Source organism: Homo sapiens, chromosome 2, assembly GCF_000001405.40.
Source record: "Homo sapiens chromosome 2, GRCh38.p14 Primary Assembly".
Taxonomy (NCBI): Eukaryota; Metazoa; Chordata; class Mammalia; order Primates; family Hominidae; genus Homo; species Homo sapiens.
In genome coordinates, this window is record NC_000002.12 from 177,266,005 (window position 1) to 177,282,190 (window position 16,186).

General features: G+C 38.3%; 1 annotated feature.

The window, feature by feature from the left end:
- Nucleotides 15,472-15,891: an enhancer, noted in NCBI's record as "active region_16796". NCBI's record gives its function as "activates an Ori minimal core promoter by ATAC-STARR-seq in GM12878 lymphoblastoid cells {active_cell/tissue: GM12878}" and the evidence as "EXISTENCE:reporter gene assay evidence [ECO:0000049][PMID:35858748]".

Below are 16,186 nucleotides of genomic sequence, written 5' to 3' on the forward strand. Positions count from 1 at the left end.
ACTGGCAGTGGTTTTGCTATTTCATTCAAAAACCACACACACACCCCTGACTATAGCAATCAACGCCCAAAAAGCTGCAGAGCTTACTTTCTCTAGGTTGCATAATTTGACACTCCCAGGATTTATGTGTAAATTTGTATATTCAGATATTCCTTGAGATAAGTGAAGCCTAAATTAATTACTTGTAATTGAAGCAAGCTTCTTTAACTCCTATTAATTCCTTTCAGCTGTTATGTGAAAACCCTGCAACATGATCTGCACAATGAAAACAAGTTAGGAGAAAACTGTTTGCAAAGGACCTCACATGAAAGATGCAGAGACATAATAATAAAATAACATTTCTGAGTCCAAGAAAAAGACAAGAGTAAATTGTTAACAATTCAAGTTACTTATTAAAATTACGACATCAGAGAAGGTAGACAATGAGCCTAGTAGGTAGGAGATACCAGAGTCATATGACATGGTTACTGCTCTAAAGGAGTTTATAAAGTATTTGGTATTTCCTTGTTAAGCCACAAAATTTCCATTGAGTTTAGACTGAATGAAATAACCTTCACTTTTCCAATGCTGCAATTTGCTGAGAGTGTGTTATTTCAGGCATCTGCAGAGTACATATTTTCAAAGGGAGGGGAGCAATATGATAAGAGTTTGAACTTGTTTAAGAAAAACAAACACTAAGGAAAAGCTGTTTGGCATTTGGTTTAGCCAAATAAAGGGAACCCCATTCTCAAGACCACCCACGTCAAGGAGGTGCCCAATCTTGGCAGACTCTGGAATGTGATTGTCTTCATATGAGAGCCTGAGCCCTTGCTTTGCCCTCCAAACCTGCCTATTGTGTTAGGAGGGCACAGATAATGCATGTTGAGAAGCTCTGGAGGAGCAAGAAAGAACAAGAAAGAGGAGGTGCTGGTTTTTCTCTCCTGTCTTGCTGCCATGGGATCCTTTTTTGCTGCCAGGCTCTCCTCGCTACTATTTGGGAAAAATACCCTCCAATTGGTTTTATGTTCTATTGACTCTTGTACCTTTTCATTGATTCCTGAATCATTTGCTGTCTTTGGGAAGACGGCCTTCCCTACATGCTTGAGATGTGTCAATTGTGATACCTTGCTCCAGATTGCTCATAAAAAATAAGCATCATTGGCCAGGTGCTCTGGCTAACGCCTATAATCCCAGCACTTTGGGAGGCCGAGGCTGGCGGATCACGAGGTCAAGAGATCAAAACCATCCTGGCCAACGTGGTGAAACCCTGTCTCTACTAAAAAATACAAAAATTAGCTGGTTGTGGTGGCATGCGCCTGTAGTCCCAGCTACTCAGGGAGGCTGAGGCAGGAGAATTGCTTGAACCCAGGAGGCGGAGGTTGCAGTGAGCCGAGATCACGCCACTGCACTCCAGCCTGGCGACAGAGTGAGACTCTGTCTAAAAAAAAAGTATCATCAAGTAAGTCTTCTGGGTATAAGAAGTCTGGATAATGGTGATGCATTGACCCCTTAGTTCCACCTCCTTTGTGCTCCAATCTGCCAAGTTGCAAGGTGCAAGAAAGTACCGATTGTTTCAAAATCCTCCATCACTTTGAGGCTTCTTCCTCTCTCTGTCACTTCCTCTCAATTGTTCTCCATGTTTGAGCCAGAAAATATTCATAATCTTTTAGAATTGTAGTTGAAATTCTACTTTGTCCAGTGTAAAGTATAGAAAGCTTCCAAAGATGGCACCCAGTAAACCACCTCTCCTGATATTGAGGCATTTGTCTAGTCCCCTCATATTGAAACAAGCATGGCTGGCCCTGCAACTTGCTTTAAGGTATGGAAAGAGGCCAGAAGTGACATTATGCCAGGTTTTAACCTAAGCTTGAAAAAGCCCTGACAGCTTTTAATTTTATACTCTTGGAAGTCAGCCATCATCCTAAGAGGTCTGACTACCTTGATGGAAAGAGAGGCCATGGGAAAAGTCATGGAAGATGAAACTCTAAATGGAGAGAGAGAGACTATGTGAACCAACACACCAGACATGTGAATGAAGAAACCATCTTGGACCTTCGAGCCCACCTATTCAAGCCCCCAAAGAACTCCAGCTCCAGCTGCTATATGACTGCAGTCACATACAAGAGACTGTAAGCAAGACCGGCAGAAGACTCCCTGGCTAAGCTAAGTCAACACCAAGAACTGTGAGAAATTATAATAAATCACTTTCAGCTATTAAATTTGGGGGTGGTTTGTTTCATAGCAATTGATAACCAAAACAGCATACTGTATGTATGGTGACTATCAAAGGCAGGGTTTCCCCTGGCTGCTCTTTGTTTGTTAACCAACATTGGGAGCACAAACAGGGAGATGATACTTGGTGATTTAATAAAACTCAGACTCTCAGAAGAAAATGACTTCCCTGGGAATGAGGAAGCTGTCTTTCCCATAACATATCTTTGTTGCTACATACAAAGTAAAAAACCTCATCACACCATGCATAAGTTTCATTTTATTAGACGATGGAGAGATAGTCTCCTTATCAAAATACACTTCACGAACACAGACATTTTATCAATGAAGTAGATGGAGGGATAAATGCATACAGAGGTTCTGACCGTGATATGACCTCATTTGTGCCAGTTATGTAAGATACTCGCTGAATATCTGCTTAGGGAGTTTGAACTTGAGCAACCTGCCCAGTGGATAAACTAAACTCCAGTATAGGCCAGGCGCGGTGGCTCACACCTATAATCCCAGGGAGGCCAAGGTGGGCGGATCACCTGAGGTCGGGAGTTTGAGATCAGCCTGACCAACATGGAGAAACCCTGTCTCTACTAAAAATACAAAATTAGCTTGGCATGGTGGTGCATGCCTGTAATGCTAGCTACTCAGGAGGCTGAGGCAGGAGAATTGCTTGAATCCGGGAGGCGGAGGTTGCAGTGAGCCGAGATCGCGCCATTGTACTCCAGCCTGGGCAACAAGAGCGAAACTCCATCTCGAAAAATAAATAAGTAAATAAAATAACAAACTCCAGTAAAGCAGTGTTCAAAATATTTGGTGTATTAATTTCAAAACACACCCGCATCCTTGGTTCCCTGGGGTGTACACCTCACTGTGCAAACTACTGGTACAATGAGCTGTACATCTCCAAAGCCAGTTTTAACTTGTGTAGTTTCCTGCTCATAAAGAAAAAGTATCCTGCAGCAACAGCAATGCAGTGAGTAAAGAGAAAAATGTTTAAAAGAGTCCTTTGAATTTTATGTGTTGATACCTATATAAATATATATGCACAGAAAAAAAAGACAGAATGCATATACTCCAAAATGTTAACCGTAATTATTTTGACTAGATGGAGACTGATGACTTTTTTTTCTCATTTTTCCATGTTTACATTGTTCTAAATAAATAAACATACTTTTTTTTTTTTGAGACAGGGTCTCGCTCTGTTACCCAGGCTGGAATGCAGTGGTGCTATCATGGCTTATTGCAGCCTAGACCTCCTGGGATCAAGTAATCTTCCCACTTCAGCCTCCTGAGTAGCTGGGATGACAAGCATGCACCACCATGCCCTGCTAATTTTAAAATTTTTTGTAGAGGGGGTAGTCTCACTATGTTGCCCAGGCTGGTCTCAAACTCCTGGCCTCAAGCAGTCCTCCTGCCTCAGCCTCCCCAAGTGCTGGGATTACAGGCATGAGCCATTGTGACTGGCCAGCATACATTACTTTTATAAGAAGAAGAAAAAAGGTGGGAGTAGGGTGTGGGAGTAAGGAAAGAACGTTGCTTTTCTCCCATGCCACTGGATCTGTTTTATTTTCAAATTGAATTATAACCACAAGCTTTGTAAATCTTTCCATTTTGTATTTATTTGAGTGGAGCCTGGAGAATTTTACCACATCTTTAAGTGTAGTTGTTGTAAGGTTCTAAAGATCCTTTCTCTTCCAATTTACTGCTATATTTGCAACGTTTAACTCAGCAGAACAGGAATTACCAAAGACAAAATTTTATGAATAGAGATTAAGAACTGCAGCCTCTCAGTAACAGGCAAAGTAGCCCAAACGTAACATCGCTTTGTGGGGAAAATAAAATACAGAAAAACATTATGCCTAGAGCTATGTCTTCAAGGACAGTTCTCAAATATTAATAATGGGAGTAGAATATCAGATAATTTTCATTTCCATCTTTGTATTTTTCTGTATTATTCAAATCCTTACAGAAAGCATTTTTAGAATTAAGGGATAAAAACAATTAAACTATTTCCACTTTGAACAAACAAAAAGCAGACTACAACGAATGGAAGAGCAGAGCATCCTCATAAACAGACCTTACAGATAATCTATAACATTCTTGGAGGCTGGAAAATAAAAAAGGGAAATGAGATTTGCCAACATAATTGTCTCCTGACACTTTCTATTCCATGGACTCTCATTTTGCCCTTTGAGTAATATTAGAATTAAAAAAAAACCTTAGACGTCTTCTGGCCCGGAGATGGGAAGCAAATTTCACTTTGATTGCCAATTCTGATACATTGGTAGTGGCTGCCTACAGTGCTTTGCTGAAAAGTATTCAAAAACAGCTTCCCAATTTGGTAGAAAAAGTTCAATGATTGATTAACAATGTCTGCCATGGGCACAGAATTATGAGTGGTGGCACATATCAGGTATGTTTCTTCCTTGATATAGTCCAAATTCCTACTTTTACATTTGAGGAAACTGAAGAGTGAAGTGGTTACTAATGACCACAGAGGTAACTACTGGCAGAACCAGAAATAGAATAACATTTCCTGACTCATGGTATTATGTTCTTCGCATACAACAAATTGATTTGGAATTTTTTTTTTTGATACAGAGTCTCACTCTGTTGCCCAGGCTGGAGTGCAGTGGCATGATCTCGGTTCACTGCAACCTCCACCTCCCAGGTTCAAGCGACACTCGTGCCTCAGCCCCCCAGTAGCTGGGATTACAGGCATGAACCACCATGCCAGTTAATTTTTGTATTTTTTAGTAGAGACGGGGTTTCACCATGTTGGCCAGGCTGGTCTCGAACTCCTGACCTCAGGTGATCCACCTGCCTCAGCCTCCCAAAGTGTTGGGATTACAGTCGTGAGCCATGGCGCCCGGCTGACTTGGACTTTTAAAGGCAAATCTAGTACTGGGCCAGACTTAAAGGATAAGGTGTAAATTTTATTGACATGTTGGCACATTATTTTTGGAGGGGATTAATAATCCAGTTTATTAATGATAATAATTATTGTACATATTTTATAAACACTCCCCACAAATCAGGGAGATGCAATTAGGCCCAATATTACAAAAATCAGAGGTGACAAAACAATTAAGTGACTGCCTCAAAGCTCAAGGAAATGATTATCTGACAATGGCCCAGGCTTCGTCTACTCTAGGTCAGGTCTCTGTAGAGTCTCTTGGCTTGTGCTGTATTTACTGAGAGTACTCACAGCAAAACTCCCTAAAGATTACATTTTTCCACATTCTGTTTAATGAATTCCCCAAGGACAAAATGATGAAGTATTTTTCACTAGAGAGAAAACTTGCAAACAAATAGGAGAACAGGATTTCTGCATTTAAGAACTTCAGTGTGAAGGGTAGGGAGAAAGTAAATGAGCTGTTTGCAACTTTAGCCTCTCTACGTACCAGCAGGTTTTTAATTTTTCTTATTTAATGAAAAGGTCTAAGAGCAAGAATCAAAATGTACTGAGAAGACTATAAGGTGTTAAAACCCTTTTGCTTCTTCCAATAAATTAAATTTCTCTAATTGTGTGATTCTAAAAAGCCTAATATGCAGGTAACTTTAATGTCAGTTTAGAGCTATCCCTCCTGTAAGATTCAGGTAACTTGTTCATCACGTTTTCTTTCTCCTGATGAAAGATGGAATATTTCAGTCTTTGGAGTTCGTAAACTTTCAAAAATTTGTAACGGTCAGTGTATTAATTCACTTGTCTTTTTCCCTGCTAACAGTTCTTGTATGCTTACTATGCATAATAACCCGAATTTTTAGATTCTTTATTTCTCTACAATATATTAGGGATATGGAAAGCAATAACAACACAACAAAAACAACAAGTATTTATTGAGTGCTAAATATGGCCCATGTACTTTATATGGGTTATATCATTTAATCCTCTCAGAAAATCCAAGACAGGTCCTTTACAGTCCCATTTTAGAAATGAGCAAACTGAGGCCTGGAGAGGTGAGATAATTTTATCTATGGTCAGGTGGTTAGTAAGTAGCTGAACAAATCACTGACTTTAAAGTTCTTAAGCATGAAGATATGCTGCCTCCCATGCATAGTTCAAAAAATCGTAAAGGTTCATTAGGGAATTTAGGTAGAAATGTTTTCTGAAATGTTTCACCAAAAACTATCCAAGCAATTTATGTTTCATTTAAAAAACAACAGTTGAATACTTAGTGAGAGAGTTTGAAGGAAGACTCAGTTGAGTTAAACATGGATTCTACTCTGAAGGTCCTTACAGTCCAGTAAAAAAACATCACACTTGCCCATAGCCAGGAAGTAGCTGATGATGCAAAAGAGGCAGGCAGTTAATGTAGCCAACCTGATAGCTGAGGTCAGGGGTTTCTCTTTTCATTTTCTGCAAAATTCACATAATATTTTAAAAATAGCTTTAATGAGGTCTAATTGATATAAAATAAATTACATATATATAAAGTACACAATTTGATAAGTACACACACACAATTGTAGTTATGATTTGTATTTTTCTGATGACTAAAGATGTTGACTATCTTGTCATGGCACTGAGGTTTTAATACATAATGTAATACTTTCTATACATTGACTGAGAGGAAGGTATGTACCCCTAAAATATGCTTTATTGTTAGAAACTTTGCTGGTTACATAATCAAAGAGGAGTTATGGTGAAACAATATTATTAACTATGGATAAAATGACACCAAAATTCCAGAAAATATAAAATATGCAACTCAACAAAAACTTGAGTTCTTACAAAAGGAAACTATAAAATACCAAGCTTTTACTTTCAACTGGTGCCTGAGAATTTCCTCTGCTACCACACGCTGGTGGACCTACTCATGTTTTCTGAACTGCATTGAGATGCAACAACTATTACCTGTTTCTTTCTTTTTCTTGACTGTTCTCCCCTAAATTCCTAGACGACACCATTAACAATTTAAATCAAATTGGTTAAAATATCTATTACCTAACCTAATAAGGTCACTGTAGTTTTTTTATTTTTTATTTTTAAAAAAGCTCTAAACACTGAATAAATAAATGTTTTGTGACAACACGGATTCATAAACTAGAGGGAGATTTTTTTGTACACTATATATGGAGACATTTCTTGCTAAAGTTTGCCCAGTCTAGCCTCCTGGGAAAGTAAGTACTGTATTAGCAGGAAATACATCTTTTCAATTGTCCGCTCTGGTTGGAAGATTAGATAATATGAACACTTGATCTCCTTATAATCAATTCAATTTAATTTAAGAACACTGTTGTGTACTGTGTGAAGTGCCTCAGGTAAAACTTGAGTTTATTGAGCATTATGTACAAAGCTCTCCTTCCAAACACTTTGTATGTGTCATTACTAATACTAGCAATAGCCATTTTACGGGTGATAAAGCCGAGTTCAATCTGATTCAGTAACTTGGCCAAGATTCCATGGAAGAGCTCATGTGAAATTCTAGATTTGGCTGTTTCAAAACCTTTGCTCTTTTCACTGGGCTAGGCCCCAAGACACCTCCCAATGCTTTGTGAATGATTAAACATTGTAGGGATCACGTTCTATATGATAGTACTTGCCATAGACCTCATTTAATTGTATGTCATTATTTGAAGGGTGAAGTATAATTTTATGCAACTGAGATATCATAAAGTTGTATAAACTGTGCCATAATTTTCATGTTGGAATTCAATTTAAGATTTCCATGTATTTGTTTTTTTTCTTTCTTGATTAAGGCTTACTAACCCTCTGCTCTTGATCCAAATCTGCAAATACATAAAACAGAAAGTACGAGGGCCCCCAGAAACCTCTCTCTGATTGCTAGTGGCTCATTGGAAGAATATCACTCTAAGATTTTGCAGTCTGATTCTGTGGTACAAGGTCTTCAAAGCTGACAATCAGTACCAGATTCTATCAAATTATCATATTCAACTTAAATTATCTCTTTTACTACAACTCACCTTCATAATTTCAAAAATGTGTACCCTGCTCTGAGCAAGCTATGCATTGATCATTCACTATGAGTGAATGTCTTGTTTTTCAGAAGGCTTATGTGGAAAGAGTGTGTTAGGAGGAGAGTCACACCAATGTGGCTAAAAGAAGAAAGATTAAGTATCTTTTAAAAACATAATAATATAATATAAAAATATTATGGTATCTTTAAAGATATAATAGATGATATGGATAGTAAAAAGATGTATAGCAAAGCAGTTCAAATGAACAAAAGATAAGGCTATAGGAAGGTTTGATGATAAAATGTAAAGAAATACAATTGAAATAGCAGTAACTTCACTTATATGTTTTCATTTTAATGTACAATATTGTAATGACGGAAACCAACAGTCACCTGGTATCATTTCACAGTCTTATGAACCTCGGAAACACATTGTGTTTACTGTCATAGTATACTTTTCTCTAAGAAATCATCTGTGAAGCAGCTGAGGTTTTAACAAATGACAATCATGTAATTAATACAAATTACAATTTCTCTAGCCTACATTTCTACAAATCCTGCTGTTTACTATTGTGTAGAGAATATAAGTGTGAGACAGGCACACCTGAGTTTAGATACTAGCTGTGAGAGCCTGAGAAAGTAATTCAGCATGACTGACAAAAGTTTCCTAGTCTGTAAAATGAGGGTTGTTGTGAGGCTAACTGGATTAATGTATTTAAAGTTATTCATGAAGATGAAGAGCAGTCAGATCCTCTGAAATAATCATCTGAAAACAAAAAATGACTATGTGAACAACATTGATGGAAGAATAGACCACTGCCAACCCACAAATATAAAATATTTAGTTCTTTTTATAAATGCATGATACTTGACATAATAAAAAGTTATGGTCTGAACTTGAGAAACCTAGAGATTATTTGATATAAAAATAAAAGAATTGGCTTAGACTTAAATTCAAGAGCCAGAGATGGTGCTATTCATCTTCTTATCTCCGTTACTTTTTACTTTACCTGCTATGTGGAGATACTTGGTAAATGTTCCTTAATTGAATGAACAATTGCATGACTAAACTTTCTAAGGTTTGTTCCAACATCAACAGACTGCTTTTATAAGATGACGGGAAAGAGTGTGTTGCATAAACACTGTTTTGTTGTGTTAGGGCACATGTATTAAAATATCAACTGCTGGTTTAGCAAGAGACCTTGGTATTTATGTTGAAATAGGAAGGCTGCATATTTCATTTTGTATATATTTTTGTTAATAAATATTTATAACATTCATATTCTACTCATCAAGGAATTTTCTGAGGCAAAGGAACAGGATTGCGAGGAGGTCTCAGTAATGTGAGGCTCGCTTTATTGCACTAGTGAACTAGCAGGCTCCATCTAGAATATATTTTTAAAATTTTTAATAATAGCAGTGGAAAATAAAGAATGATTCTTTGTGTTCTTTGGGACTCTTTATGTTTGTAACTTAGGAGCCCTTACTGGCTGAATTCTGTGGTACTACTGCCAAGAATTTTGCAGACTGCACAAGCATTTTCATTTACTGAAATGTTAATGTCTTAATTTAAAATCTACCATCATACTTAATTTAGTGGCGTTAATGGCCTCTACCGTTCACTTTTAAAATGCCACCTAATTCAGAATTATTTTCTAACTTCTTATTTTACATATAACTGAACTCCCGTAGGATTGGGTGAAGTCTCTTGAGAGCAGCTCACTGTGGGCGTGCGGCAAGAGATCAACATTTATCTCAGCTGCTTATATGTGGTCTAAGTGGATTTGGTAGTGCCAGAACAATGTGACTGCCAGGACCCAGAAACTAATGCTTTCCTTGCCTAATAAGTAATTTTTTTGAAGTCTCCTATCTGTTTCTCAATGACTAAATCCTGTAAGGTATATAACAGACTACTCATATTGGTTTTCTCTGAGTGGCAGTTTTAAGGGTAGAGGAACATTACTTCTTACCTTACATATTTCTGTATTGTTTGATTTTTTAATAAGCACTTTTTATGTATTTCATATTTAATCCTCATGATTTGAATATTTAAAAAATATAAAAAGTAAAAAGTTAACCTCCCCACTCTATCTTCCATTCACTAAATCTCCTCACTTTTCCCCAGAAACATATGTATAAGCAAATATATACTCTCTATATACAAATACTATTGTATTACATATACTATAATATATACTATCTATATATACTCATTTGTATATATAAGCAAATATATACATCCTAAATACTATCATATTATATATACTATAATATATATTCTGTATAAATATACTCATATGTGTATATATATATAAGCAAATATATACTCTATTTTTCTCATTTTTCACACAAAAGGTAGCAAACAGTGCATATGGTTCTCCATCTTGTGTCTTTCATTAAAAATGTCTTGGAGGTTTGTACTGTTTATCAATATACTATGTGGTACATCTTCACTCTCTATGTATTTCTTTCTTCCTTTTTTTTTTTTTTTTTTTTTTTTGAGACAGAGTCTCACTCTGTCGCCCCGGCTGGAGTGCAGTGCTGCGATCTCTGCTCACTGCAACCTCCGCCTCCTGGGTTCAAGCGATTCTCCTGCCTCAGCCTCCTGAGTAGCTGGGATTACGGTGACCACCACCACGCCCAGCTAATTTTTTGTACTTTTAGTAGAGACGGGATTTCATCATGTTGGCCAGGCTGGTCTCCATCTTCTGACCTCGTGATTCACCCACCTCGGCCTCCCAAAGTGCTGGGATTACAGGTATGAGCCACCTCGCCCGGCCCCCTCTATGTGTTTCTTTCTAAAGCTGCATAATATTCAATTACATGGATGCATCATGATTTATTTAACTAGTTTCATATTGATGAATACTGGATTGTTTCTAATCTTGCTATTACAAGTCATGCTGCAATAAGTTACCTTGACCTTGACCTGGGTCATTTTTTAATGAATTTTTTTTTTTTTTTTTGGAGACACAGTTTCACTCTGTCACCCAGGCTGGAGTGCAGTGGTGCGATCTCGACTCACCACAACCTCCACCTCCCAGGTCAAGCGATTCTCGTGCCTCAGCCGTCTGAGTAGCTGGGACTACAGGCATGTGCCACCACACCTGGCTAATTTTTGTATTATTAGTAGAAATGGGGTTTTCCCATGTTGGCCGGGCTGGTCCCAAACTCCTGATCTCAGGTCATCCGCCCGCATCGGCCTCCCAAAATGCTGGGATTACAGGTGTGAGACACCGTGCCTGGCCATTTTTTAAATGATTTTTAAATTTTTATTTTAATTGACAAATGATAATTGTATATATTTATGGGGTACAATGTGATGTTATGAGATATATACATGCACACACGAGATGATTAAATAAATCTAACTATTAATAATAGGTCATTTTATGTGTTAAGTATATTCACAGGATAGAGTCATTGAAAAGTGCCTCTTGGGTCAAGGATAAGCACTTATAAGACTGACAGATCTTGCCAAATTACCTTTCATAGAGTCTTACCAATGTATAATACCATAAGTTAGATTGTCAAAACTTTTAGATTTTTGAAAATGTGACAAACATATTCATATTACTGCCCATGTTTCTATTGGGTTGTTGATTTTTAAAATCTTATTTATTTCTAGTGGTGCTTTGTATATAAGGGATATTAGTACTTTGTGACATGAGTTGAAAATACTTTTCCCAGTTTGTCATTTGTCTTTTAACTTTGATTATGGTGATTTTGTTTCTTTGCCACACAGACATTTTTTATTTTAACATAATTGAATTTATCATTTTTTTTAATGGCTTATATATTTTAAGTCACATTTACAAGGACCTTCCAAGGTTATAAAGACATTTTCTCATAGTTTTCCTCTAGTAATTTTAATTTGGTTTTTCACATTTAAATATATGATGTCTTTGTAATTTCGTGTATAGTGTATAGATCCAGTTTTATTCCAGATGGCTGCCTAGTTACAGCCTGCCTAGAACTAGGCTAACTTGTTACAACTAGTTCAATACAATATATTGAATAGTCAGTCTCTCTTTTCCCTAGTGATTTGCAATGTCACCTTTATTGTATACAAATTCCTGCGTGTATCTGGGTTTATATCAGAACATTTTCATCTGTTCTATTGATCTGTATGTCCATTTATGGATCAGTCTCACATTGTTTTAACTACTGAGGCTTTATAATGTGTTTTAATACTTGATAGGGCTAACCATTCCACATTCTCCCTCACACATATACATTTGAGAAATCTCTTGCCAAATTTGAAAGGGAAAAAAATGGTATTTTTTACTGGAATTGTGTTAAAATGTTAAATTAACTTAGGGAGATATGACATTTTAACAATTTTTATTTTTCCTACCCAGGTATGTTCTTTCTATTTATCCAAAGCTTGTTTGGGTTCCTTGGTTTTATTTTAAAGTTCTCTGCATATAGGGCATACACATTTCTTGTTAAATTTGTTCCCAAGTATTTTATTTTTTCTATTGCTACTTTAAATAAGGTCCTTCATCCTTATATCCTCCAGTAGGTTATTATTTGCACATATAAGATTGATTGGTTTCTGTATATTAATTTTCCACCTTTATACTTTACTGAATTGTCTTATTGTTCATAATAATTTTTCAGTTGAGTCTCTTGGGTTTAAAATCGGAGTCACATCATCTACAAATAATGAAAATATTTTTCTTACTTTCCTATTTTTATACTTGAAGTTTTATAATGCCAAGTCATGATTGCTAGTACCTTCAGTAAAATTTTACATAGTAATTATGATAGTGAGCACCCCGTCTATTCCTAACTTTATTGGGGCTACCTCTAGACTTTCCCCATCAAGCATAATGCTGGCTAGATGTGTTGTATCATGTTAAAGAAGTATGCATCTGTTTCTATTTTATTGAGTGCTTTTTACCAAGTTGTTGAAATCATGAGCATTTTAATAAACACCAACAAGAATAAAGCTACTCTTCTGATCTTTCTGTCTTCCCACCATCTGATCTCTTATTGTTGTTTCCCACTGGCTGGCCCTAATCAGAATCCAGAAAGGAAGGGAGTCCATAAGGGGTCAGCTTCCCAGAGCATAGAGCAGGACAGAGAAGGGTAGAGAGTAGATCTGGAAGTATAGACAGGGTATAGCTGTCGGCTATATATGGAAGCCAATAGCAGACAACAAAACAGCCTCTGTCTTTATTAGTTGAAAACAAAACATTATGGGTGGCAAAAGCAATTTTCCTGAAGCTGGTAGCATTATCTTTGTTCATTAAAAAAAAGTGAAAGAAAAGTGTGGGGTCTTAGTCTTAGGTATTTTATTTTATTTTTATTTATTTATTTATATATTTATTATTTATTTATTTTTGAGACAGAGTCTCACTCTGTCTCCCAGGCTAGAGTACAGTGGTGCAATCTTGGCTCACTGCAACCTCTACCTCCCGGATTCAGTCAATTTTCATGCCTCAGCCTCCCAAGTAGCTAGGACTACATACAGATGAGCACCACCACGTCCGGCTACTTTTTTTATTTTTTGGTAGAGATAGTGTTTCACCATCTTGGCCAGGCTGGTCTCGAACTCCTGGCCTTGAGTGATTCTGCCCACCTCGGCCTCCCAAAGTGCTGGGATTACAGGCGTGAGCCACCATGCACAGCCAGTGTTAGGTATTTATATATGGAAAGCTAGTTGTACTAACCTTTTCTAGATCTAATATATTGCATTTCCTGGTCTTAAACTCACATTCAGGATTGAGCTTTTTGAATGTAATTTCCCCTACATCTACTACCTTATTTTTAAAATCTTGCACTCCTTCCTTAGGCCTAAAAATAGTGTGCTAGTGTGGTAGATATTAGGTCAATTGTCAGCACCAGAACTAGACACTTTATGTTCTTGGAAGGATCTAGCAGAACACACCCACTTTACTGGCACCTTGGCCAGTCTCTGGGCATGTTCCATTCAGGCCTGCCTTGGATGCCCCCAGACATCAGCAGGGCTGGCTTTGGGGGCAGCAGTTTCACCTGACTATATTGTGCGATGCCCTCCCTGAAGGGCTGGTTGCCTTCTGCCAGAATTTGGAAACTTCTGAACTCCACAGCAATCCTGCCCGTCTACTGCACAGGCTGCATATTTAGGAGGCATCACAGGTCACAGATAGAACTGCCAGGTAAAATACAGGACGCCCCGTTAAATTTGAATTTCAGATAAGAAATAATTTTGGGTATATGTATATCCCAAATGTTGCATGGAACATATTTATACCAAAAAATTATTTGTTGTTTATGTGAAATTCAAATCCAACTGGGCATCCTGTATTTTTCTTTGTTAAAAAGAAAAAAGAGCTTATCACAGAGCTCTTCCCAAAATAATCCTCCACTATGCTTCCTGCCACTACCTGCCCTCCCAGCTCCACAGTTCCTCCATAAGAACTACATTTATTAAAGTGTTAAGATAGCCTCGGCAGGATATTAACTATAAAGGTCAAAGTTAAGATTCACTTCTGAGGGCTGCACCTCTAACTTTAACCCGCATCATCAGGGATTCATTTACCAGATCAGTAAACTTGTTATTTGGGCACTAAGGACATTTTAGTGATGGTTGAGAGCAAGGGTGGACCATGAAAAGTTTAGATTCTCGTAGATGTGTGTAGAGGTAGGGCTGGAAGTGGAGGTGGGTTTGGGGGTATGTTAAAGCAATGTATGCAGGAAAGAGAATATTAAAGAGAACTTACACTGACAATTTTGCCTGGCTGGGATTCTTGTGTTATTCCTTCCTTGCCTCCTGATTTCCTTCCTTTTTTTTTTTTTTTTTTTTTTTTTTGAGATGGAGTCTCTCACTGTGTCACCCAGGCTGGGGTGTGGTGGCATGATCTCAGCTCACTGCAACCTCCGACTCCCTGGTTCAAGCTATTCTCCTGCCTCAGCCTCCCGAGTAGCTGGGATTACAGGCATGTGCCACCACGCCCAGCTAATTTTTGTATTTTTAGTAGAGACAGGGTTTCACCATGTTGGCCAGGATGGTCTTGATCTCCTGACCTCATGATCTGCCCGCCTCAGCCTCCCAAAGTGCTGGGATTACAGGCGTGAGCCACCATGCCCGGCATCCTTCCCTTCTTTAGTTTACACACATAGGCCCCAGGTACAGGGCATGAGCTAGAGCTGGATCCCAGCTGAATGGAAAGCAGGAGGCGCTATATTGGAAACAACTGCCAAGCAACCAAGGACTGGGGACAAAATAGCCTGGGAGGAGAAGTAAAACCAGGAAAAAGTTTAAAATTAGGTGCCTGACATTTAAGGGAAAAAGTCCAAAGTTAATCAAGGATGACCGCTTATTGCAAGATTCAAAACCTCTAAATGACAAAACTTCTAAAAAAGGAAATGATGATAGCACGGGGAACCCTGCTGATCCATCTCCCTGCCCAAATACTTCTCCATTCCCAACATCTGTGCAGCCATGTGCAGCAGAGACAAACAGCAGCAGCACTCCACCCCCAAGCTTTGAGAACCGCAGAGCTGTGGCTGACACAGTGGTCCTATCTCTGTGAAGTACACAAACCATACCACAGCCTTATTTTCTGAGACCATCTCTATGTAACCAGCTTCCCTAAATGCTGTGGCCCAAGAGGCTAACACTTTGGTCAGTCATGGGGCAATATGGCTGCTCCCACATGGCATCCAAGTCCATGCTTAGAGACTGAAGGGGAGCCAGCCTTGGTAAACCAGGTCTGTGGTCATTTCCCCACCTGGCATTTTTGAGCTGTACCAAGCAGCCTAGGGGTTCTTACTGCAAGGGCACGCTCAAACCTGACTTGTCCAGACAAGCAGAAGAGTTTTGGGCTCCCAATCGAGCACGGTGGTCAGTCTGTTCCAGTTTGTCTGGGACTTTCCAGGTTTGAACACTGAAAGTTCTACAGCCAGGAAATCCCTCAGTCCCAGGCAAACTGGGATGGTTGGTCACCCTGAAGTCAAGACACCTAGGCTTTGGCACCTAAACATCAGTTTCCTCATCTGTAAAATGCTGGGACTGGCCAGTACAGCTTCTGATGTTACTGCCACATCTAATAGTCCATGATTCACTCTCA